General features: G+C 40.0%; 1 protein-coding gene across 24 annotated transcripts in view; it reads left to right on the forward strand.

Annotated features, from left to right (window-relative positions):
• Nucleotides 1-25803, forward strand: part of MED12L (mediator complex subunit 12L) — a 350990-nt gene that overhangs the window by 44651 nt on the left and 280536 nt on the right. The gene's annotated exons all lie outside the window — the stretch shown is intronic.

A 25803-nucleotide genomic window follows, 5' to 3' on the forward strand; every position in this document is an offset into this window, starting at 1 on the left:
TCTCTCAAAATCCTACATTCAGTCCGTCAACAATCTTGTCATCTTTACTTTCAAAATAAAACCAGAATCTGAAAACTTGGTCTTCTGTGTCCCTGCTGTTACTCTGGCCAAACCACCACCACCTTTGCCTGTCTATGGCAGGGTTTTAGCCAATCTTCTTGTTTTTGTTTTTCTTCCTCTAATGTCAGCTTTCCACTTTGTAGCCAGAATGATCCTGTTAGGGCAGAAATTACGCCACCCTTATGCCCAGAATTCTTGCATGGCCCCTTGTCCCACTCAGATTGTGTAACTCAGCGACGCCAGCGACCTGCCTGCACATTCCAAACTCAGAGCTCTGCTGACCTGTGGGCGCGGCTCTTCCTTCACCTGTGGGTGCACATGGGCCTGCTCCCTTGCTCCACTGTGGTCTCTGCCCAGACGCGCTTCCTAAGAAAAGCCTTCTCCAACCACTGCTGCCAAAATATCTCCCTGTTACTGTCTTCTTATTCTGCTTTATTTTTCTTCATTGTTCTTAACACCATCTGATGTTATATTTTTTATTAATTTTTGATCATCTGTCTACATCCACTCCCAAGTACAACACAGGCTCCATGAAGGACTTCGCTAGATTTGTTCAGTGCTGAGTCTCTGAAGACAGTACTTGGCATACACAAGGTGGTCAGTAATCTTTAAAATAAATAAATGAATAATTAGGCCTGAAACATTTATGTTTGTGTGTGTGTGTGATGTGATTACATATTTCTGCATCTGTGTATGTATGTATTTAAAAAAATTTCTCCCAATTGATAATCCTTGAAACTTTCATTATCACCAGCTATATCGGAGAGACTACTCCATTCCTTATGTTCTCTTAATATATATTTTTTTGGTAACATGTTCTTGTCAGTGTTTTTCCTGATGTTCAATTTAATCTGACTTCGACTGCTACAAAAATGCAAAAAGGAAGTGCAGGAATGATTTTTACAACTGAAACTTAAAACGATTTTAGAGCAAATAAGAGTTCAAGCCAGGCATGGTGGCTCATGCCTATAATCCCACCACTTTGGGAGAACAGGGCAGGAAGATCGCTTGAGCCCAGAAGTTTAAGACCAATCTAGGCAACATAGTGAGACTTTGTCTCTCCAACCCTCCCCACCAAAAAAATTAGTAAGGTGTGGTGGTGCACACCTGTATTCCCAGCTACTCAGGAGGCTGAGGTGAGGGGATAGCTTGAGTCTAGGAAGTTGAGGCTGCAGTGAGCTGGGATTGAGCCACTGCACTCCAGCCTGGGCAACAGAGAGAGACCCTCTCCCTCAAAAAACAAACAAACAAACAAAAACAAAAAACAGTTTGATAGATCTTGATAATTTGGAAAGGTTATGTAATTTCTGGGAAATCCCAGATATGAGTGTTTCACCAGGACCACATGATTTCCCCTACTAAATGGAGAAATGGAGGGAAGTATAGCTCCAGTTTCTACTTAAGAACGTTATGGACTTGTTGGATTCATTAGTTTTACCATTAATTTCCTTATCACTATGGCTGGTTGGACTTTGGAGGGTTATTTTTCTCCCCACCAAAAAGTTAAAACTTTTATTTTTTGCATACCCATAATGGATGGATTATTAGGTTTAGTCACTAGCTGTATTTTTTCTTCCTCTGTAAGCCAGATAACATACGATTCTGTTTTTTGATCCAGTTGATTTACAGTATATTGCAGTTCATGGGTTTTTATGATTATTAATGTATATTTAAAATTGTGAATATTAACTCCATGAAGATCAAGTGCCTATAATAATATTTCTTATGTTAGAGTATCCAGGCTTTGAACTAAGACAGGCCAAAGGCTAAAAAGAGAAATATTTTTAAAATGTATGAATTTCAGGAGTTTACCCCTAAGTTCCCAGGTCTACCATCTCAGAGGGAGCTTTGGGCTTTACTTTTATCAGTGCTGCCACTAAGAGACAAGGTGATTTAATGCAAAGTCCTTAGCTTCTCCAGACATCAGTCTTTTCAACCTTGATTCAATCCAGTGTCTGTGTTGCCTTTGTCATGTTTTTTTAGTTGTCTTTAATCTAGAACAGTTCATTAGCCATTTTCTTTTGACCTTGATATTTTTGAAGGAGGCACACCAGTTATTTTGTAGACTGTCCATTGATTTTTCCTTTCTCCAGTTTCTCATTAATAGATTTAAGTTACATACCTTTGCTTGGAATAGCCTGGAGGTGATGCTGTGAATGTATCAGTGTATCATATCCCAATACTGATGGTGGTAACTTTGATGATTTGGGTAAGGTGGTGTCTATCGGATTTTTCTCCTTCAAAGTTACTATTCTACCCTTTGTAATTAGTAATTTACCTGTGTAAATATACAGTTCCTTTCTCTATATTCTTATATGTATTTTAATTGAAAATGAAGGATTCTGTTTATACTATATGAAAAGAGCATGTTTTCCAAATATCTAATCTTGTTTTACTATCACTTTGTTACACCTGATACCTCTGACATTCGCCTTTGTCGTCAGCAGCTTTTTCAACTTTTAAAAGCAAATTATACAGTATATTTGAAAGCATTTGGCTGTGTAGACATAGCCATAATGTAATGTAGCAAGTTTCACACTCCTAGCAAGGGATACAGCCAAGGGAGTACACACATATATATGTGTTGAATTGGATTAAATCACATACACTTCAGAAGATTAACTTCTAGTAATAGGTTCTGTGTTCTGGCATTGATAGCAAAAAGAATCATTCAGCACGTTTGGGAAAAGATTGACTATCAAGTGTCATCCTTTTCTGGCATTGGTTTTATGACTTCCGTTGTCTTGATGATTGTTATTAGGATTTGTAAAGTGTTTTCGGTAGAAATGACTTTTATTCCTTTGTAATAGAAACGTGTTTTATTTTCAGTTCCTACTTTCAGCATTGGAGCAGAGCTATAAAGCACTGCTGTTTGATTTTATTGAAGGGAACTTTTCCCAAAGTTAAGTGGGCTCACAGCAACAAGGAGCAACACAGAGATCCTTACTGTCGTTATGCAGAGAGTTACAGATCTCAAATGTAGATTAAATGGGTTGCTGCCCTGGGGAGCTTGCAGTCAGCAAAGATGTACCCAGTACACTGTATACACAAAAGTGAGAGGAGTGAGAAGCGCCTTGGGTTTCTGAGTGAGGTCTCATGTGTAACTTCAAAGTGGGTAATGAAATATTTGACTTGGACAAATCTGAGTATCAGGACAGAGATTTTAAATAGAGGGGAATTAGGGAAGCCTGAAAGAAGAGTTTGTAATTCTTAGTCCTTGTGAGACCTGAAAAAAAAAAAAGGTTTAGGTGGACACGATGTTTAGAAAATGTCATGAAATAGTTGATGTTGCTACTTGAGGGAGAGTACGCCAGAAATAATGCATGTTCGGTTTCAGATATTTTTAGAGTTGAATTAAGTTTCATTTTTAAGAGAACAAGATTGTTCAGCTGCCTTAAATATTTTGAGCTCACCAGAGAAAATTATTTAAAACAGGCTAGCTAATACTTAAAAATGAAAAAGTAAAACTCACATTGAGTTATGCAATTGAAGTCTTTGAACAGATTAGGAAATATGACTTTATAGTAAATAACGGAATTTTGTACATTTATTTATAGGAATTTTCCCCATGAGGAGTCTTATTGTTGCTGAATCAACTAATAATAACTACAGCATTTATTGCTGTTATTGCTGTCACTGTTAACAGCATTTCTTGAGCACTTATGGAATCCCCGGTATTGTGATAAGCAGGGATACGGTGCTAACTGCATTTCAAGGTTGAATCAGCTCCCGATGTGTGCTGGGTAATGATCTAGGTTGTTTGGAGAAGCTTGTCAGCCATGGGAATGCCCCATCCCTTGCTGTTGTGGGGTTGTTTTTTTTTTTTTTTTGGCCTGTTTGAAAATGGTCAGTCCCTCACCAGGTCTATTGGCTCTCTGCCACGGTTCTTCTGTTGTGCAGTGATACAGTGTTCCCCATTTCATTAGTAAATGTTTGCTGGGTTCTATGTATATTTTGTCCGTTTTATGACTTATTATTCAGATAGCCTGTGAAAGAGATACGTTATTCTCATTTCGTGGATGAGGATGGTGATGTGCAGGTGGTGCACAGAACCCCTCAGCGTAAGTGTCCAAACTTGGCTCCAGAGCCTGTGCTGGACACCACTGGTCAGTGAGGACAAGAGTGTGACAGTGTAATCACTGCCCTCTAGGTATTTGCAGTATGAGTAGGGGACATGCATCCAAACAATCAAATATTAGAGAAGGAAGACTTCATAGTGACAGGAAGAAAATACAGAGGAAGTCTTAAGGAATAAGCCACTGAGGGAACTTGGGACATCCAGGAGATTCACAGAGGAAGTGACTTAGGTGTATACTTTTGCAAGAAGAGACGCTTCCTAGGAGGACACAGCTGGAGTGGGCTGTTGTTCAGGGAAGGGCATTTCTGACAGAAGGATGAAGTCTGCAGAGAAATACGTTATCAAATAGTTTGACTTGTTGCACCTCCAGGATTTAACTTCAGCTTGAGCATCAGTTACCAGTGGGGAGGTGCTGAAAGCCTGTGTGAAGGTTTGTTTGCCAGAGTGAGATATGTGAGTTCCCTCTGGTGCATGATGAAAAGCCATGGAAGGGTTTATTATTACTATTATTGTTATGACTCTTTCCCTCAGTTTCTTGTCTGTAAAAAAATAAGGATAATTGACAGTACTTATTTATTTATTTATTTTTATTTGAGATGGAGTCTCCTCTGTTGCTCAGGCTGGAGTGCATTGGTGTGATCTCGGCTCACGCCAACCTCCGCTCTCAGGTTCAAGCAATTCTCCCACCTCAGCCTCCCAAGTAGCTGGGATTACAGGCACCTGCCATCGTGCTCCTCTAATTTTTGTAGAGACGAGGTTTCACCATGTTGGCCAGGTTGGTCTTGAACTCCTGACCTCAGGTGATCTGCCCACCTTGGCCTCCCAAAGGGCTGGGATTACAGGCGTGAGCTACCACACCTGGCCTGATAGTACTTTTTAAGAATGAAATGAATCGATACCTTTAAAGTGTTTAGAACAGTGACTGGCATACAGTAAATGTAGACCATTGATAATATGCGACAACTGCTACTTAGAACTGCTGTTACCAGCCAGTATTTATTGATTATCCTGTGTTACTCCGTTGGGAACTTTGCAGACTTTATCTGTAACCTTGCAATGTAGGTTTCATTATTCCATTTTGTGTATGAGGGACCTGAGTCTCAGAGAAGTTAAGTAACTTGCTGGCCTAGATGGAGTTGGATCCCTGCCCAGGCACCTGCCACTAGAGTGCCTGCTCCTCACTCCTCGCTGTGAGGTGATAGCTGCTGGTGGCCTGTGTGTGGTGTGGGTCTGGGCCACTGGAGGCAACAAGCATCTCTAGGTGGAAAGATGCTGGCAGGAAGCAGGCTGCGGGACTGGTGGCTCTGAGCAGCATCTGAGGAGTCAGAACTCTTGTTCTCATGGGTGCTATGGGGAACAGGAGGAGCAAAGCAAAGTCCAGGGTGCCATGGCAACTAGAGAAAGAAATATGAAACTGCTTGCAAGATGAGCAGCCTTAATTCTGCCTAGGAATTTTTGGGTATTCAATATGGTGAAAAGTGACAAGACATATCATGCGCATGAGGTCTTTTTTGGGGGAACAGATAGATTCAAAGAAGCTTAAAATGCTTCGTGGTTAAACTGCCTGGGGCACTGCTCTGTTTACCCCTAGTCATTTCCTCTGTGCCACCTGAGGTTTTGTGGGGATTTGAGTCAGATGAGAGACTTTTCTTGGTTGACTATACTCTTGTAACCACTATCCTTATCGCTCCCAAAATACAAAGAATAAACAGCCACCCTTCTTTCACAGTGGGTAATTAATTTGTGACATATTCACTGAGCCATTTGGACTGCAAAAATAAGTCCTGCTAAACTCATAATTGACAGTCTGGTTTCTTATCTAAGCCTACCAGCTTACTTGCAGTTTGGGTCTGTGAAGACATTGCATACTAACTTTTTTGATTCCAGGGACAAGCGTTTAGTTTTGTCAAGATTGCCTCCACATTTTCACAGTGTTCCTTCTATCTCATTTGTCATAAAGGCGATATCTGCCTTGTTTATGCTGAAAGTAATCCTGAAGATTGGACAGAAGTGCTTGTATAAGCTTAGTTTAAATTCACACTTTGCTTAGGCATGAAAAATAGGTTTTAACCGGTGAGGTAACTCTGGCTATCTGGTAAAAACCATTCTCCAATAGAAGGAATGGGGCTATTGGGGGTGAGACTTTGGTACCTGCAGCTATTCCATTCCTCAATAATCTTTTACCTAAAAGTTTTAACATCTGTTGATGAACTGAGCCTGGAATAGTTATTTCTTTGGGAATGGCAAGATGTAGGCATTCTTCAGTAAATGAGGGCTTTCTCTCATGTGATAAATTACAGTTCTTTCTAAAAAAGGCAGAATAAATGCTAAATTCTTTTCCTTTGATTTCAATTTTGGGAGTAGAAATTGTTGCATCTCCACAGTGGTGAAAAATGTTTCTCTATTTTTTTATTTATTAAAAAAGTTTAGGCTGTGTGCGGTGGCTCACACCTGTAATTCCAGCACTTTGGGAGGCTAAGGTGGGTGGATCACGAGGTCAGGAGATCAAGACCATCCTGGCCAACATGGTGAAACCCCATCTCTACTAAAAATACAAAAATTAACTGGGCATGGCGGCATGTGCCTGTAATCCCAGCTACTCAGGAGGCTGAGGCAGGAGAATCGCTTGAACCTGGGAGGCGGAGGTTGTAGTGAGCTGAGATCGCACCACTGCACTCCAGCCTGGTAACAGAGGTAGACTCCGTCTCAAAAAAAAAAAGAAAAAAAAAAAAAAGAACGAAAAAAAGTTTATTTTTGATCATTGTTATGGGCTCATGAAGTTTTATTTATTCTGTATTTTACAACCAAGTACACTTCTGTTAAATTTCGTGTTAAAATTGCCCCAAAATTGGCCAGAGACCCTTCTAGCTCCTTGTAAACTTTTGACATGACACCATTTGTCATGGGACATCTCCTTGCTTTCTGGCACAGAAAGATGTCCCAGGCGCTTGTAATTTTCCTGCCTCAGATCTCCAAAGAGCCTTTTGTCTAAGGAACTCTGCTTCTTTCTAGTGGGGAATGGTATTTAGAAAGCAAGATCTGGGTGCTAAAGGTGCTCATTGCTACTGGGATGTTGTGTCTAGGCCCCATCAGTGGGTAAATGGATGGAGACACACATATCTGCATGTGTGTGCATGTATGTGGGGGTTTTCCTATTTCCAGCTTATCTTTAGCATTTCCTATTTAACAAGAAAGAGTTTTTAGTAATTTCTTCAATTTTATGTTTATTTCATTTCTATTACATGAACAATCAAATGATTTCTAGTAAATGAACATGGTTACTTACCTGCTTCATCTTGCTACAAACATATTGGCTTGAGAATTATAATCTGATACATTAAAAGTATGTGAAATTTTTTTTTTTTAAGCTTTACACTGTGTTTCACTTAAAATGATTCTCTCTGCAGTAAGGTACACTGTTTCAGTTTGTTTTCCATTTTAGGGTTTGATTTTTTTCCCTTATGAACTAATTTTATATTTTGAATATGTAATACCTTGACATATTCAAGAGTCAAAACTATATAAAGATGTGCAGAAGTTTTGCTTCTATCTCCATCTTTTCACACAATTCCCTTTACCCCATCTTCAGATGTAACCATTTCTTACTAGTTTTTAATCTTCCAGTTTTTATTTTTGCAAAAAATATGCAAATACTTATATCTTCTTATTTCTTCTTTCTCCTTACATAGTAATTAGCATACTATATATACTGTTGGATACCTTGCCTTTTTTTTTAACTTAACAATATCCTAGTGATTACTTGATGTTCTCTGTTCCTTTTTGTGGCCTCTTAGTCCTTCATTGTGTGGATGTACCACAGTTTGGCCAGTCCCTTGTTTTTATTTCAAAAATGTTAAAAAAACTTTTTAGATTTACAGAGAAATTGAGAAGATAGTACAGAGTTCCCATGCATTCTCTCACCCTTGCAAACAGTTTCTCCCATTATTAACATTTTGCATTAATATGATACATTTATTATAATTAATGAACCAATATTGATTATTATAAAAGTCAGTCCATACTTTGGATTTCCTTAGTTTTAACCTAATGACCCTTTTCCATTTCAGGATCTTATTCAGGATATTATATTACATTTAGTTCTCATATCTCCCTAGGCTTCTCTTGGCTGTGACATTTTCTCAGTTTCAGTGATGTTTGACAGTTTTGAGGAGTACTAGTCAGGTATATTGTAGGGTTATCTTCTGTTGGAATTTGTCTGATATTTTTCTTATGGTTAGACCAGGGTTACAGAAGTCAAATGTCATTCTCATCATGTTACATCAAGGGTACATGCTATCACCATGACTTATGACTATTGATGTTAACCTTGATCACCTGGCTGAGGTAGCACTTACCAGGTTTTACAGTGTAAAGTTATTTCCCTCCCATCCCTTTCCACACTTTACTCTTTGGAAGGAAGTAATATGGACAGTCCACACTTAAGAAGTGGGGAGTTAACCATCCCCCTCCTTGAGGGCAGAGTATCTACTTATTTAAAATTCTTCTGCATGGGTGATTTGTCTCTTATCTACCTACCTACCTACCTACCTGCCTACCTACCTACTATTCTTTCATTCATTAATGTATGTATGTATTCAAGCATTTCTATCAGTATTGATTCATAGATGTTTACTTCATCTTTTGGTTTATAATACTCTATTTTGTTCCACCTTTGTCCATTGAGAGCTCTTTCAGCTGTGTCCTGTGTCCATTTGACATACCCATCTTAGTTTGCTTTTGTTTTTGTCTTTCTAAGTACTTTCTTCTTTTCTGGCACTAGAAGGTGCATTCCATGTTCATTGTGTATATTTTCTGTTCCAATCCTATAATGAGCCATTTCTCCAAGGAGCCCTGGTTGTCTTTAAAGGAGAGTGGTATTAGAAACCAAGAGTTGAGCACAAAGAGTGCTTATTGCTACTTGGGGTGTCACTGCTTCTAGGCCCTCTCAGTTGACAGATTAAGGAGATGCATGTGTGTGGACTAACTCATGTATGTACATATATTTATAAATATTTTTATATGTGATTGTGTTATCTCTTGAGCTAAACATGAATTCTTATTGATGCCTGGTAAGTGCATTTTTCCATTTTGTTAGATTCTGCCAAGTTTTCCTTCATAGTATTAACATGGACTAGACCTACTCAAGTTGTGAGAGGAGAATATTGGCGGGACAGGCATAGGAGAAATATGTAAGCAAGGTCTTGATGGGAGGTGAAAGAGAGCTGAATGTTCATCATCTTCCATGTAGGAAGCCAGTGGGTAATGCTTACAATCAGGAAGTAGGACTGTAAGCATGTTATTTAGAGGTAGAGGTAAATACAACAGATGAAAGAGTTGAAAATAATTTGCTTTTGGAGAATAATTGAGGAGTTTATGGACAATAGGCTGTTGTGTTCACAATAAATCATATAGAACTATTGGACTCTTTAAGACATGCACAAGAGGAGCTTTCATATAAACAAAAGTTAGCTAAGCCTAATCGCAGTCCCAAATTATTACTGCCTATTTTTTGTTGTCATTGGTACTTTTCCTGGAAGATATCTTGCTGTAAGAATGTTTTATGAAAAAGATTTGGAGGAAGTTTAAGGAATGCCATCTTACCCAGTAGCATTACAATTTAGTTATTCTTAGATAAATTGCAAGAGCTTACTTTTCTCTAAGCTAACTACTTGCTTTTTGGGACCTTAACTTAAATGAAGTAGATGTTCTTTGTAAAAATTGGAAGACCTCTAATATTTTTCCAGGTATGTAGCTTTTTAGTTAATTGAATATGCAAATTTTCCCTATTTACAGACCCTTTATTAACGTAAAATAACATAAAATTTACCATTGTAACCAACAATAAGTGTATGGTACAGCAGTATTAACTCAATGCACATTGTTGTACAACTGATTTGTAGAACTTTTTTCTCTTGCAAAACTGAAACTGCCCATTGAACAACTCCCCTTTCTCCCCCTCCACCAGCCTCTGGCTACTGCCATCATACTTTGCTGATTTACAGAAACTTTAAAAAGTTCTAATCAAGTTTAATATGCTGCACTGTAACTCTATGTGCCCGATTGTTGCCCTGTGGAAACATATTTCAGCTTTTCCAAAGTAAAAATATTATACCCTCTTCCAAGTTAGAATGCTGGTGTGTGGTTGTGGTGGTTGTATATTTATGTTTAATTAATTTTTTGGTGAAATCAAAGAAAATGTATGCCCATGATAGTTTTTGAATTTATTTATTTATTATTTATTTTTTGAGACAGAGTCTTGTTCTGTCGCCCAGGCTGGAGTGCAATGGCCTGGTCTTGGCTCATTGCAACCTCTGCCTCCCGGGTTCAAGTCATTCTCCTGCCTCAGCCTCCCGAGTAGCTGCGATTACAGGCACGTGCCTCCACACGCAGATAATTTTGTTTGTTTGTTTGTTTGTTTGTTTGTTTGTTTTTTGAGAGGGAGTCTCGCTCTGTTGCCCAGGCTGGAGTGCAGTGGCACGATCTCGGCTCACTGCAAACTCCGCATCCCAGGTTCACGCCATTCTCCTGCCTCAGCCTCCCGAGTAGCTGGGACTACAGGCACCCGCCACGACGCCCAGCTAAGTTTTTGTATTTTTAGTAGAGATGGGGTTTCACCATGTTAGCCATGATGGTCTCGATCTCCTGACCTTGTGATCCACCTGCCTTGGCCTCCCACAGTGCTGGGATTACAGGCGTGAGCCACCGTGCCTGGCGTTTTTTTTTTTGTTTTTTTTGTTTTTTTTTTTTTGTTAGTAGAGACGGGGTTTCACTGTGTTGGCCAGGCTGGTCTCGAAATCCTGACCTCGTGATCCACCTGCTTTGACCTCCAAAAGTGCTGGGATTACAGGCATGAGCCACTGGGCCTGGCCAGTTTTTGAATTTCTTAGAGAAATGCATTGAAAGAAATTACTGTATTTCACTTGAATAAGGAGTGATTTAGTTTAAAAAAGGTTTATCAAGAGTCTGTGCATTGGGGTAGATGCTGTGAAGATTTTTAACCAAATGGGGGCTGTGCTGTTTGTCTGTAAGGGGATACCATCTTTTTGTGGTTACAAGATACACACCTAAAACGGAGCATAATACATTAGTATCTAATTACCTGTAATCATATAGGAAATAATGGATCGACTGGAAAAATTAGGGAAAGTTTTCTGTAGTAGTAAAATATGAGCTATGCCTTAAAGAAATCTAGCCTTTAAGTAAGAATTGGGATTTTTTACTCTGTTTTTTGGATCTTAAGTAGTTCTTGGTTCTTCAGTTATCTTCCATCTTCCTCTTTGGCAACTTATGAGCAAATGAATTAAGTTTATAGTTCTGTTCCAGATAGTATATTCGCTGCAGTCTTTACTACTGTCATTTCTTCTGGTCTTGTCACTTTGGGTGAATGGTCTAGTCCCACATTTTCTGTTAAGAATCCATTGCTACTCAACAGTTTTTTCTAGTCAGTCCTAGTAAATGTTCACTCCCACTTGAATTAATCAGTCATCTTCTATGATAAAATGTTAATAAGAACCTTGATTTAATTGGTAAATCATGGTTCCCTACCCTCTTTATGGCTATTGGTATATACGTGCATACTTGGAAGATAGTATACTACAAAATAAGCTTGTTCAAAGTCTTGGCAGTTTACAGGCTGGTTTCGTAGCTTCTCATTTGGGCTAGTTTTCTTGAAAATTCTCTGAGGTAGTTGAGTGCCTCCATTTCACAAATGAGGGGACAAAGTTCGTGGAAAGTGGAAGAATGGGAAATTCCATCCTAGACTTCTGTTTCTGGGTCCTGTTTGATTTACAGAATTTGCATGCTGCTCACATCAAATGAAGATCAACTGTGTGAAGCTGAGTGGGGGAATGGTGTTTGCTTAAGGTATGAAGAATGCTTCCAAAAGCTCAATGTTTAATGAGTTTTAATTTGTTGGGCATCTTGCAGATCTGTTGCTTAAAGCATAAACAAGAGAATTTTAAGAAAAGATAGCTTCTTGTATGAGCTAAAATTTCTAATAGGTAATATTACAAAATGTGGTCCAAAACACAAAATGTTCAGAAAGGGATAGTGAAGTCTCCTTTCTAACATACTGTCTTCAGACCCCCTACCTCTATCCCAGACCCCTCCTTACATAGTTTAGAAGCAATAATTCTTACCAGTTTCATGCATATCCTCTGAGATATATTTCATGTATTTTTAAGTGTAGATTTTGTGTATTTTTTAACAGTCCTTTAAAAAATTGGTGCTTGCTCCATACTGTGCATACAGTGGCCTTGTTTTTTAAATGGCTCTAAGCTAACCTTTTAATGACTTATTTATAAAAGCTAGGTTCTTTATTTTTGCAATTTGCACTGGAATGTTAATTCCATGATAAATAGAAAGCTTTTTTTTTTTTTAATTAAAAAGAAGTACATTAGGTTTCAAAGTCATTTTCCAAATGTGTATAAACTTCCAAGTGAAATCCCTGGAATAACATGGCTCTAAAGCCTGATTCAAATCTGTTATTTTGTAGTCAAGGAATTCATAGGGTATGCCGGGTAGAAAACAGTTAAGGGTCAATAAATTATAGTTGGAATGTCTTTGTGAATCTAACACAGCTAAAGCAAATAGCTTTAATTAAATGAACATAACATGCATCATTCTTTAGTCTCCAGAAAAATCACACAGGAGTGAGTTCCGGAGCAGGGAATGAGAGGGAAGCCGGGGTGGATCTGGCTGGTCTGTGTACTGTGTAAGCATTTTTGCTGTGTTTTAGAGCTTTTTGCTCTAGGGTTATTTTACACGGTCATCTGGCAATATGATGTCTGTCGTATTTGTGTTCTAATGAAAGACTCTTAGCTGTCTAAAGCTTGTTCAGAAATAGAAACTTTACAGTAACTGCATTTAGGACCTAAATAGTAAGCACAATGCCACTTTAACTATTGAAACGTTACTCTAACTACAGCTGATCATGGGATTAAATTCCAATGCAAAGTGAAAAAAGAAAATGTAGTTTGTTTATTTTTGCTCCTCAGATGATTGGGCGCTTCCTCCCACTGCCTCTGCAGCAGAAGCTGGGAGAGGAGGTGAGGGTCGTGAAATGTCTGATGTAATAATTTAAATAACTTCTGTGTCTTCAGAGTGGGGCTAGCAGCAAGTATCTTTCACCAGTGCTTGTCCTCCGTTTTTCTTTTGCTCCCATTCCCCTGAATCTTCAGGAGGGTGGGTGCCTTCCCTTTCTTCCCCATGTCTCCTCTTCTCCCTTCTACAGCATTGTCCCCCAAGACCTGGCCAGAGGAGTGCACAGAGGTGTGTTCTCTACACAGAAGCAAAGTGGTGGCCTGTGTGTCTTGCTAGAAGACAAGTCTTACATCTTCCTACAGTCCTCCTGTCCTGGGGCAGTAAAACTCATGACTTGGTGTCACATGTAGAAGGCTGTGGGGATATGTCCTAAGTGGTTAATTAAGTGCACCAATTTAATATTTGTAAAAATGCTGTCCCTGTTATTCCCTATGATACGAATATTTCACCAAAGCCAAGGCTGTTGCTCACTCAGGTATATATAGAAATCTGAAAAGATGACAGAAATTTACCATATGATAATTCCAACATTAATTTCAGACTGCTATCTCATGCCCTGGAGAAGGAGCTGAGCCTGTTGGTGGCACATGTTCAGTGTGTCCCTCTGTTAGAAGGAAGCCCCCGAAACTGTAGCTGTGGGGGAAGCTGGTGGTGTGACTGATGTGTCAAATAAGAAATTCTTGTTCTAAGGGCTAAAATTGGATTCTGTGGTTGCCGCATGCCTTAGCTTGAGATGCATGTACAGGGTTGATAGGGAAAAAGGACAACTGGGGGAAAAAAAAATCCCTAAATGCGACAGTTAGCATGTTTACGTTAAAATGAAAATGAGAATTGGAGACCTGTGAGTGAAAGGGAGAATCCAAGAAAGGTGTCCAGTGTGGTTCTCCTCAGCTATCAGATACAGCCCAGCAACCTCACAGGAAGAAAGATGCAGTCGGGAGTTTCCATGCAACCTTGCAGTACAAGACTTTTGTGCTCTTGTCAGACCCTCCCTTGTCGACCCCTCTCCCCTATTTTTGTATCCTTGTCAGAGGCCTCGGCCCCCTGTTTTCTGACTTGGCCACGCTGGTCTCTTTTCTTCTGAAATCTTAAGCATTGACTACCTGACACACAACTGGGCAAGTATTTAGATATTGCCTTATAATGGCCTTGTCTTTCCTGGGGTACTGCCCCCCTTCCTCAGCTGTGTTATTCACTCCTTAGGCAGAGGGCCCTTCACTCACTGTGGCTGGTCATATCTTCACCTCTTCACCTCTCTCTTCAGTCTTCCTTCCCTTCCCCACCACCTGTCCCAGGAACATCCCAGAGGAACAGTCCTGTCAGTTTCCCTCAGTGACCTATTCACTGCCGCCCCCGACATACCTGCATCATGTAAACCTACCTGCAGCGGTTGTCCTTACCCGTCTTCCTCCAGTCTTGGTTGGAGAGATGCTACTTTCACCTAAGGTTACTTCCTCCTTTTTTGTAGCCTCCTCCCTACCCAGCCTTGTAAACCATGTAAGTTTGCTTTCTTCTGGGCCCTCGCTCTGTGCCAGTCACTGTTTTAGCATGTTGCATCTCATTTAATCCTCAAAATAATTCTGTATAGGCTAAGAACACTTACTAGCCCTGTTTTACAGGCAAGTAACTGAAGCACCCAGGGGCTGACTTGCTCTAAAACTCCAAAGCTGGTAAGTGATTGGAGCCAGGGCAGGAACCAGGCCAGCTAACTCTAGAACCTGTGCCCTTCACCACTCTTAAGCTAGTTAATGCATGTCAGGGGCTTAGAAGAGGGCCAGTGCACAGCGAGTGCACTACCAATATTGTTACTCTGCATGATAAACTGGTCTGTCCCCAGGATTGTGTCTGCTAGGTACTTCTGTAGTCATGAACACATTCTTTAAGGCATTGCATCCCACATATGGTAATGTTCGCTACATTTGCATCTTTCCCCTGACCCTTCTGAGTATCAGACTTGCATATCCACCTGCTCCTTAACATATTTTCCCATGAATATCTCCAGCATTTTAAATCTGGCGTATTCAAAACTAAACTGAAAACTGGGAAACCTGGGTAAGATTGGTGAGTTGCCTCAGTGTCAGTATGCTGGTTGCGATATTGTACTATAGATTTGAAGGAAGTTAACATTTGGCAAAACTAAGTAAAGTGTCCATGGGATCTCTTTCTTACACTTGGATGTGAATCTACAGTTATCTCAAAATAAGAAGTTTCATTAAAACAAGTTAAGGAAATAACAAACTGAACCCAGCCCTGCCACCCCTCCCCAGCTGTTCTCTGTAATTCCACATCTCCGTTGATGGCACCAGGACCACCCATTCGGAAATGTGTTAGCTGCCCTTTCTCTTTCCTTCATCTCCACTTTAGGGTGTTTCCTCTTCTGCCTCACAAAGGTGTCGCACCTGCCTCTTTGTTCCCTGCTGCAGTCACCTCCCTGATGGAGTTGGCAGCCTCCTTTCCAGGGTTTCCCCTACAACTTCCTGAGAAATAGCGTTAATTTACGTATCTGATCTTGCCGTTGCTGTGTTTAAAATGTTTCAGTTACCCATTTGTGATAAAAAACCAAACTCCATAGCTTGCCACTGCCTGGGTCAGAGTCCTCCAGGCTGCTGATTAAAAAAGCAGATTTCTCCACCCGACTCCAGACCTCTGGAGTTGAAATCCCTGGAGTTGGAAATAAACGTGTGCGTTGAACCAGCACCCTCTGGTGACCATTTTGTGCACTAGCGTTTGAGGAACTCTGGCCTCTGGGGACCTTCCTGCGCCTCACTGGTGACTCCCTCTGCCTTCCTGCCATCTGCATTGCCTGAAATGTCACACGCTGCCATTTCTGTGTGTGGAACTCCTTTGTACCTTCCCCAATATGTGGATGAAACGCCTCTTTGCTTCCTTTCCTGGGTCTCAGGGTACAATGGAGCACTTACCTTGTTGCTGTCTACTTTTGTGTCATGTGCACCTCAGGCAGGGCCACTTTCTTCTCTTTGTAGCCTCATATCCCAGTAGAGGGTCGTGGTAGGCATTTAGTGTTTGCTGCTACATATTGATGGGTTTTATTTTATTTGATCTTGAGCTGCCTACTTGATCCCTAAGTAATAGTACTTTGCACGGTGTCATTGCACAATAATTAAAACCAGAGGGAAATGGCTGGTTTAAAATAACATAGTAAAATGAGTCATCCAGACAAAAACAGGCACTCTGTATTTGTCCCCAGTGTTCTACAGGTAATTCTGTTAGAGGAAAACTTTTTAAAAGCAAAAATGTATTTCAGTAATGTATCACGCTGTGTCATTTCCACTGTGTACCAACAGCCCATCCCCACCCCTCCTCCTTTTCTCTCTTTTCCTGCTCTCCAGCCAGAGAACCTGATTTAACTATCTGATCATTCAGCAGAACCCAGCAGTCTGGCCAGTGGTCTGACTCTGCTGGTCTTGTGGCACTGAGGCAGCAGTTTTCATTTGGGCTATTTATCCAGGCAGCCAATCAGTGCACTGACTACTTTTCATTCCCCATGTGAACAGTGGCTGAGTATGGGATTTTGGATTTTCTGTGGCTCATTTTATAGGGTACAACTGATTAACTTTTAAACCCTTTTATTATGGGACATCAAACATGTACAAATATAGAAGTATATAATAACACCCATTTACTCTTCACCCAGCTTTAACCATTGACTCACAGTCACTCTTGTTTCTACCCCTTATCCTCTCTGTCTCCCCCCACCTGTGAAATTATATCATTTCCTAGTGTTTTACTTTTTATCAGTATGGAGTAATCTTTTCTTTTACTTCATGAAGAAATAATCTTTTACTTCATTTTATTGGTAGTTAAGTACTTCAAGAAGACATTTTAAATATTTGAATATTAAAAAACCAGCTTTATTGATATAATTGAAATACTATATAATTCATCCATTTAAAGTCTACGGTCAGTGTTTTTTAGCATGTTCACAGAGCTGTGAAGCTATTAACCACATTTTAGAACATTTTCGCTACCCCTGAAAAACCCCATGCCCATGAGCAGTCACTCCCCATTTGCCTTCAGTAGCCGCAGGCAACCACTAACCTACTTTCTCTGTAGATTTGCCTTTTGTGGACATTTTATATAAATGGAATTATACAACATGTGGTCCTTTGAAACTGGCTTGTTTCAGTTAGTGTATGTTTTCCTGGTACATCCATGTGGTAGCAGGTTTCAGTACTTCATTCTCTCTTAGGGCCGAATGGTGTTCCATTGTATGCATATGCCACATTTTATTTATCTGGGTATCAGCTGACGGATATTGGATTGTTTTCACTTTTTGGTTATAATGAACATCCTGCTATGAACATTTGTTTACAGGTCTTTGTGTGGACATGTGTCATTTCTCTTAGATATACAGGCTAGTTCTCCTGGGTATGTATAACTTACTGGATTATGTGATGACATTATATTTAACCTTTTGTGGAACTATCCTACTGTTTTCCACATATTACATTTATCATTTTATATTCCCGTGGGGAACACCTGAGGATTTCAGTTTCTCTACATTCTTGTCAATACTTGTTATTATCAGTCTTTTTATTATAGCTGTCCTAGCGGTATTTCATTATGGTTTTGATTTGCATTTCTCTATCGGCTAATGGTGTTGACCATCTTAAATGTGCTTATTGGCCATTTGTTTATTATTTTTGGAGAAATGTCTGTTCAGATCCTTTGCCTATTTTTTAACTGGGTTGTCTTTTTATTATTGAGTTTAATAGTTCATCATGTATTCTAGATCCAACTCCTTTATATATGATTTGAAATATTCTCTCCCAATTGGTGTGTTATCTTTTCACCCTGTTAATTGTGTCTTTGATCAAAAAAGTATTTTAACAACAGAAAATGTGAGAAAAATGGTGGAAAATCTTTCAGCCATTCTTACTGAGGGTTGAGTAATGGTATATATAATAGCTGACATGTACTGAAATTTTTGATTTTGCATTTTTTCTCTCATTCAGTCTGCACCAACGTCAGGCTGGTTAAACCCTCTATGTCCTGCAGCTTTGAGAAGCAGGCTGTTCACACTCAGAAGGGGGTATTATTGTAGTCATATAGCCTAAAGAAGGATTTCCAAGGAAATGAATTTCTCCATTGAGGAGTCCATCACCTCTGACTTAAAGTGCTGTGTCAGGTGGATCACCTTAAAGATTTGCTCCTTAGTCTCTGGACTTGGTTGGAGTTTTAAAAAAAACAATCTCTGTTGCATTTCATTTCACATAGTGAGTTCCCACTGGCTTTGATGATGGAAAAGGAAGTAGCTAGGAAAATGAATCTTTACAAAGTTAGTTTTTTCATATATGGTTATATAAAAACCTATACATACACATACATTTACAAGGAAATTTATTGAAAAAGAATGGAAAGTCCAATATTTGCCCGGCCCATTTATAGCCATTGATTAACAGGTGCTTCTATTTAGCTATATTAGAGACAGTGTATTAGAGAAGGAATTTGGCCTTTTCCCTGTTGTCATGTTTGAAACCTTTTAGGTGTGCAGTGGTGAGTTTAAACTACAAAAGAAATAAGTTTGTTTCAAGAAATGAGAGAATCATTGGGAGGGAACTTGATTTGGTAGTTATTTTGGGAGGACCTTATGGTGTATTGATTGAAATCAATACTTAGGTGTTGTCTACGTGTAAGGTGTAGTTTTACGGGGATGGAGGATGGAGGAAATTGTAATATGTCAGAGACGGGAGACAAAGCCCTGCTAGGTGATGAAGTGGTGTTCAGAGACTAGAGGGAACTAAATGTTAGAATACAGGCAAGTAGAGAAGGTACAGACATTCTTCAGAGATATTATGGGTTCCAGACTGCTACAATAAAGTGAATCACATGAATATTTTGGTTTCGTAGTGCATATAAAAGTTATGTTTACACTGTATTGTAGTCCATTAAGTGTGCAATAGCATATGTCAAAAAAAGTAACATCTTAATTAAGGAATACTTCATCCCTAAAAATGCTGACAGTCATCTGAGCCTTCACTGAGTTGTAACCTTTTGGCTAGCAGAAGGTCTTGCCTCAGGGTTGATGGCTGCTGACTGATCTAGGTGGTGGCTGCTGGAGGTTGGGGGTGGATGTAGCAATTTAAGTCTTAAAGTAAGACAGTAATGAAGTTTGCCACATTCATTGACTCTTCATTTTATGAAAGAATTCTATGTAGCATGTGATGCTGTTTGGTAACATTTTACAAAATTGGAGTCAGTCCTCTCAAACTCTGCTACTGTTTCATCAACGAAGTTTATGGAATATTCCAAATCCTTTGTTGTCATTTCAGCAGTGTTCACAACATCTTCACCAGGAGTAGATTCCATCTGAAGAAACCACTTTGTTTGCTCATTTATGAGAGGCAACTCTTCATGCTTAATTTTACTGGGAGGTTGCAGCAATTCAGTCCCATCTTCAGGCTCCCCTTCTAATTCTAGTTCTCTTGCTGTTTCCACATCTGTTGCTGTCTCCTCCACTGAAGTCTTGAACCTCTCAAACTCGTCCATAAAGGTTGGAATCAACTTCTTACAAACTCCTATGGAAGTCAATATTTGACCCCCTGACACATGAATCACAAGTGTTCTTAATGGTATCTAGAATGGTAAATCCTTTCCAGAAGCTTTTCAGTTTACTGTGCCCAGATCCTTCAGAGGAATCACTATCTGTGGCAGCTATGGCCTAATGAAATATATGTCTTAAATAATAATATTTGAAAGTCAAAATTACTTGATCATGGGCTACAGAATGGATGTTGTGTTAACAGGCATGAAAACAACATTAATCTCCTTGTACATCTCCATCAGAGCTCTTGGGTGACCAGGTGCTTTGTCAGTGAACAGTCATGTTTTGAAAGGTATCTCTCTTTTTTCTGAGCAGTAGATCTCAAGAGTGGGCTTAAAAATATTCTGTAAGCCGTGCTGTAAACAAATGTCCTGTCCTCCAGGCTTTGTTGTTTTATTTACAGAGAACAGACGGACTAGATTTAACATAATTCTTAAAGGCTATAGGCTTTTCCAAATGGTGAATTAGCATTGGTTTTAGGTTAGTCATCAGCCATATCAGTCCCTAACAGGAAAGTCAGCCTGTCTTTTAAGGACAGGCCTTGACTTCTCTTTTCTAGCTATGAAAGTCCTGGATGGCATCTTCTTCCAACAGAAGGCTGTTTTGTCTAACTTGAAAATCTGTTGTTCACTGTAGTCACCTTCATCAATGATCCCAGCTAGATCTTCTGGATCACTTGTGGCAGCTTCTACGTCAGCATTGCTGCTTCACCTTATACTTCCATGTTGTGACAATGGCTTCTTTCCTTAAACTTCACGTACTAGCTCCTGCTAGATTCCGACTTTTCTTCTGTAGCTTCCTCTCTTAGCCTTCATAGAATTGAAGAGAGTTGAGGCCTTGCCCTGGATTAGGCTTTTGCCTAAAGGGCATGTTGTGGCTGGTTTGATCTTCTATCCAGACTGCTGAAACTTGCTCCCTATCAGCAATAAAGTTGTTTTGCTTTCTTATCATTTGTATGACTGCTGAAGTAGCTTTTTTTTTTTTTTTTTTTTTTTGAGATAGAGTCTCATTGTGTTGCCCAGGCTGGAGTGCAGTGGCGCCATCTGGGCTCACTGCAAGCTCCACGTCCCGGGGTTCACGCCATTCTCCTGCCTCAGCCTCTTGAATAGCTGGGACTACAGGCGCCCGCCACCACACCCAGCTAATTTTTTGTATTTTTAGTAGAGACGGTGTTTCACCGTGTTAGCCAGGATGGTCTCCATCTCCTGACCACGTGATCCGCATGCCTCTGCCTCCCAAAGTGCTGGGATTACAGGCGTGAGCCACCGCACCCAGCCTGAAGTAGCATTTTTAATTTCCTTTGAGATCCTTTCCTTTGCGTCCACAGGTTGGCTGTTTGGCATAAGAGACCTTGCTTCTGGCCTGTCTTGGCTTTTAACATGCCTTCCTCGCTGAGCTTAATCATTTCTAGCTTTTGATTTACAGTGAGATGTGCGACTCTTCACTTGAACACTTAAAGGTTATTGTAGGTTCATTCATTGGCCTAATTTTAATATTGTGTCTCAGGAAATAGGGAGGCCTGAAGTTGGGTGGGGGGTGGGAAGAGAGATATGGGACAGAGACAGGTTGATGCAACAGCCAGAACACACGCAACATTTATCCATTAAGTTGGCTGTCTTATATGGGAATGGTTCGTGGCACCTCAAGACATTTACAATAGTCACTCAAAGATGACTGATTACAGATCACCATAACAGACATAATAATAACTGAAAAGTTTGAAACGTTGAGGGAATTACCAAAATGTAACACAGAGTCATGATGTGAACATATGCTGTTGGGAAAATGATGCCACAAACCTTCAGTTTCTTAAAAAATGCAGTATTTACAAAGCCCAGTAAGGCAAAGTGCAATAAAATGAAGTATGCCTGTATTTTAGATGGATAAAGCACTGTAAACATGGGAGAGAAAGCAACTGGAGCTAGCATGGTGGTGAGAAATGGTAGATAGTGTTTGAAATGATTTTAATTCCTAGCTAAGGAGTTTGTCCTTAATTCATTAAGAATTGTGGATCAGTTGAAGGTGGTTTTTTTTTTTTTTTTTTTTTTTTTTTTTTTGGAGACAGGGTCTCACTCGGTTGCCCAGGCTGGAGTGCAGTAGAGCAATCTGGGCTCACTGCAGGTTTTATCTCCTGGGCTCAAGCGGCCTTCTGACTTAAGCCTGCTGAGCAGCTGGGACTATAGGTGTGTGCCACCATGCCTGGCTAATTTTGTTGATTTTTTTGTAACAATGATGTCTCACAGTGTTGCCCAGGCTGGCCTCAAACTCCTAGTCTCAAGCAATCGTCCTGCCTCAGCCTCCCAAAGTGTTGGGATTACAGGTGTGAGCCACCGCCTGGCCCATCGAAGGTACTGAACAGTGAAACTGACATTGATTGATTCCGTAAATACTTATCCAGAGCATTGCCTGGATTATATTAATCATGGGGTGTTAACTCAGCTGAGGCAGAGGCAGGGTCTGACATTGGTGACAGCAGGTGCTGTCTATTGATACTCAAGGTCTATCAGTTTCCTTTCTACTGACTTTCATCCTGATGGTGATAATAGCTACCACTTATTGATTTCCGTGTTGCATGCTTCATGCTAAGTGACTCATCCTTACAGTGACTCTGAGGCATATGTATATTATTAATGCCTCTCTTTAAAATGAGATTGAGATTTAGCAGAGGTAAATGCCTTGCTCCAGGTTGCACAACTAATATGTGGCAGATCTGAGATTTGGACCCCAGGCCATCCTGTTCCAAAGTCCATTCTGCTAATAGCACTAAATGCTGCCCTACACTACCTCTCTGGTGGTGTAACACCGCCAGTGACCTTTGTGAGCCTCACTTCATTTGGTGTGCTCTGTATTTGCCTCCATGGCGGGTGTTCCTCCTCTGCTGAGCTTCCATTTCTCTCTTTAATACTGCAGGTATCCCAGGCCTGGGAGGAGCTGCTTGTATGTAATGTGACACATCTCTGCTGTCACCCATTATGTGTTTATAATTTACGTGTTTTCATATACTAGAGCAAGGCACAATTTTTGTACTACTAAAACAAAGCACTCAGTGTACTACTGTTTTAGCTATGCATCGGTGACCAAGATCACAGTGCTAATAACTCTAAAATGGTAGGGTGGACTGCATGACCCCTGAAACCCCTTCCAGGTCAGCCTTCTGTTCCTAGGGTTAGGCATTAACAAGGAAGGAATAGTGGTTCCAGAATTCTGGATGCTAGGTAGAGTATGGTCCAAAAAAGCTGTCATTCTTTTCAATCCTGACCCCTCACACCACTCTCAGTAACATTCATGATCATAAACTTTCTAATAATCTGGCTTCATGGACATTAAGTTCTATTTAACATCAACAACTACACATGTATTCATATCATCTGCATTGCCTGAATTTAGAACTGCTCTACTTTCAGAGTAGCTTGCATAGTCACTTTCTTTGTATTTTCTACCCCTGAACATTCCCCGCCCCTTCATCTTCAGTATAATCTGTATGTATCCGTTTCTGTTTTCTTTCTTTTTTTTTTTTTTTTTTTTTTGAGACAGACTCTTGCTCTGTTGCCCATGCTGGAGTGAAGTGGTGTGATCTCGGCTCACTGCAACCTCTGCCTCCCAGCTTCAAGTGATTCTCCTGCCTCAGCCTCCTGAGTAGCTGGGATTAAAGGCACCCACTACCATGTCTGACTAATTTTTGTATTTTTAGTAGAGACGGGGTTTCGCCATGTTGGCCAGGCTGGTCTTGAACTCCTGACCTCAGGTGATTGGCCTGCCTCTGCCTCCCAAAGTGCTAGGATTACAGGTGTGAGCTACCTCACCCGGCCTTCTGTTTTCTTTTTGTCACCTGAAACTGGGGCCTCACTCCAGACCAATTAAATTAGAAACTGATGGGTTGGGGCCTAAGGCAGTGGTATTTGTTAAAAGTTCCCGTCACCATTCTGCTGTGCACTCAGGGCTGAGAGCTGAGTTGAAAATAGGCCCGTCTGGCCACTGTCCGCTCATTGGTCCGGTTTCATTACCATTCTCTAGTCGTGAATAATTATAAACATTATTAATAATTATTAAGGAGTACAGTACTAGTCACTATGTGTTATTTTCTATTTTTAATTTTTAATTGCAGTTTTACTAATCCGCATCCACTCGACTGTCTTATGTCCCAGAGCCCTGTAGCTATCTGATTGACATAACTTTAAGTCAGTTAAATACACTTAAAGCACAGGGTTAAGAGGGCTTTATTTATGGACTCCCAAAAGGAGTTCAGATTGTGGAATAGTATATTCAGCAACGTTTTTAAAAAAGATATGCATATGTTTATAGAAACATTCATGCATACTTAGAGTAGAAAAGATGGAAAGATATATATGAAAATATTTTGTGATTATAGGTGATGGCCTTACAGATGGTTTTTCTTTTCATGTCTGCAGTATAAATTTTCTATAATGAACGCGTATTTCTCCTATATTTTAAAAAATCTTAAAAAGGAGATATACCCTAGACAAAATAGGGGTGTATGAATGTGTGTGTTATTAATATTTTTAGCTCCTGAGGCTAAAATATTCAGTGGGGATATTGAGAATAGTACCATACTGACAGTGAGTTAATAGCAAGGGTTGGCATACAAAAGTTAGGATTTGGATCCTTGTTATTTTTGTTTTTGCTTATTATAGCTAAGCTAAACTTGTCTCATCTGATGGTTGGTATTTCGTTTTGTTGAACAAGTGAGTGTCATGAGACTGTTAGTCCATAACAGGACAGAAGAACATGATGACATAGATAGTTTACTGTTTTTAATGCCAATGGACTAACTTTAATATCTGTTATCGGTGCTTTCAGAAAAACTATTAAACTAGGAACAGAATGTCGACCTAGTATTTGTTCGTCTTTTCGCATTGGCTTGTTACCGAAGTTTAACAACTCCAGCGTGCATTTGAATTTGAATTTTAAATAAGACACAATTAAAATAAGTGGTTTAGATGAAAACTTAACAGTAGTTATCTCTGGGTTCTGTTAAATAATTTTAAGGGTATTTAAAAAGTAAAAACAAAGCACTCAGTGACTAGCAGATGTTTAGTTTCTACTCTTTCTTTTGTCAAAATAGAAGGTGGGAGAACCTATTGCTGAATAATGGGAAAACAGCATTGTGTGGTAATGTTTCAGTAGGGTGTTTTCTTCTGAAATGCTGTTTTGCTAATCCTTGGGGAAATTTGGCTGTGAGCATGCAATTATTACATTTTTATCCACAGAATGGGCTAAAGTTGGCATCACATCCCTCATGGTTGCCAGAGGCAACACACTGATTTAATTTGTGCCCCTGTGGCAGACATTTTTGAACAATTTCAGTGATTTTTTTCCTGTTGCTACTTTGGTTGTTTCCTTTCCAGTATCCCACTGTTTGTTGCTCCCCAACCTCTCTGATTTCACCCTCCCTGAGTTTTGAGACACTTGGTGTTGGTTGAGGAGAGTAGAATAATTGAAGATCCAGATGATTGTCCTGAGGGAAGCCATGCGGGTGTCCCTGACACATCCTGGGGCAGTGCGGGTTGGAATGCTTTCATGGTCCAGCCCGCAGTGAATGAATGTCTGTCCTCTTAAAGACTGACAAAAACAAACAAATCTTAATTAGGCATATTTGAAATTCCATGTGGAGCCTGAAAAATGGATCCTAAGAGAGCTGCTTTTGGGGGATTTTGAATTCTTTTGCTGTGGAATTTGAGATTCCTTGAGATCTCCCCTTCACGATTCTGTCCTGCTTTGCCTTTGTTTTTTTGATATACTAACTGATGTTTAACAAGGAGGATCACCAGATGGACCCAATTCGAGAGTGAACATCTCTTCTCCTAGGTTAAGAGTCACAGAAGCACAAGGGTAGAGCTGCCTGTTTCTCCGAGAGCTGGCTGCTGCCACAGGGCAGGCCACCTCACACTAGCATGCGTTCTCTAAGGGCTTTGGGTGGGTATCCTTTTCTGAGCACTGCTTGTACAGGCACAGATCATTTTTAGGGAGCAGATGTTTGTTTTATCAGTACACCCTCGAGATAATCAGAATGGGGAAGAAAACATGTAATTCTTGTACC

This window comes from Homo sapiens, chromosome 3, assembly GCF_000001405.40.
Source record: "Homo sapiens chromosome 3, GRCh38.p14 Primary Assembly".
In the NCBI taxonomy this organism is placed as follows: Eukaryota; Metazoa; Chordata; class Mammalia; order Primates; family Hominidae; genus Homo; species Homo sapiens.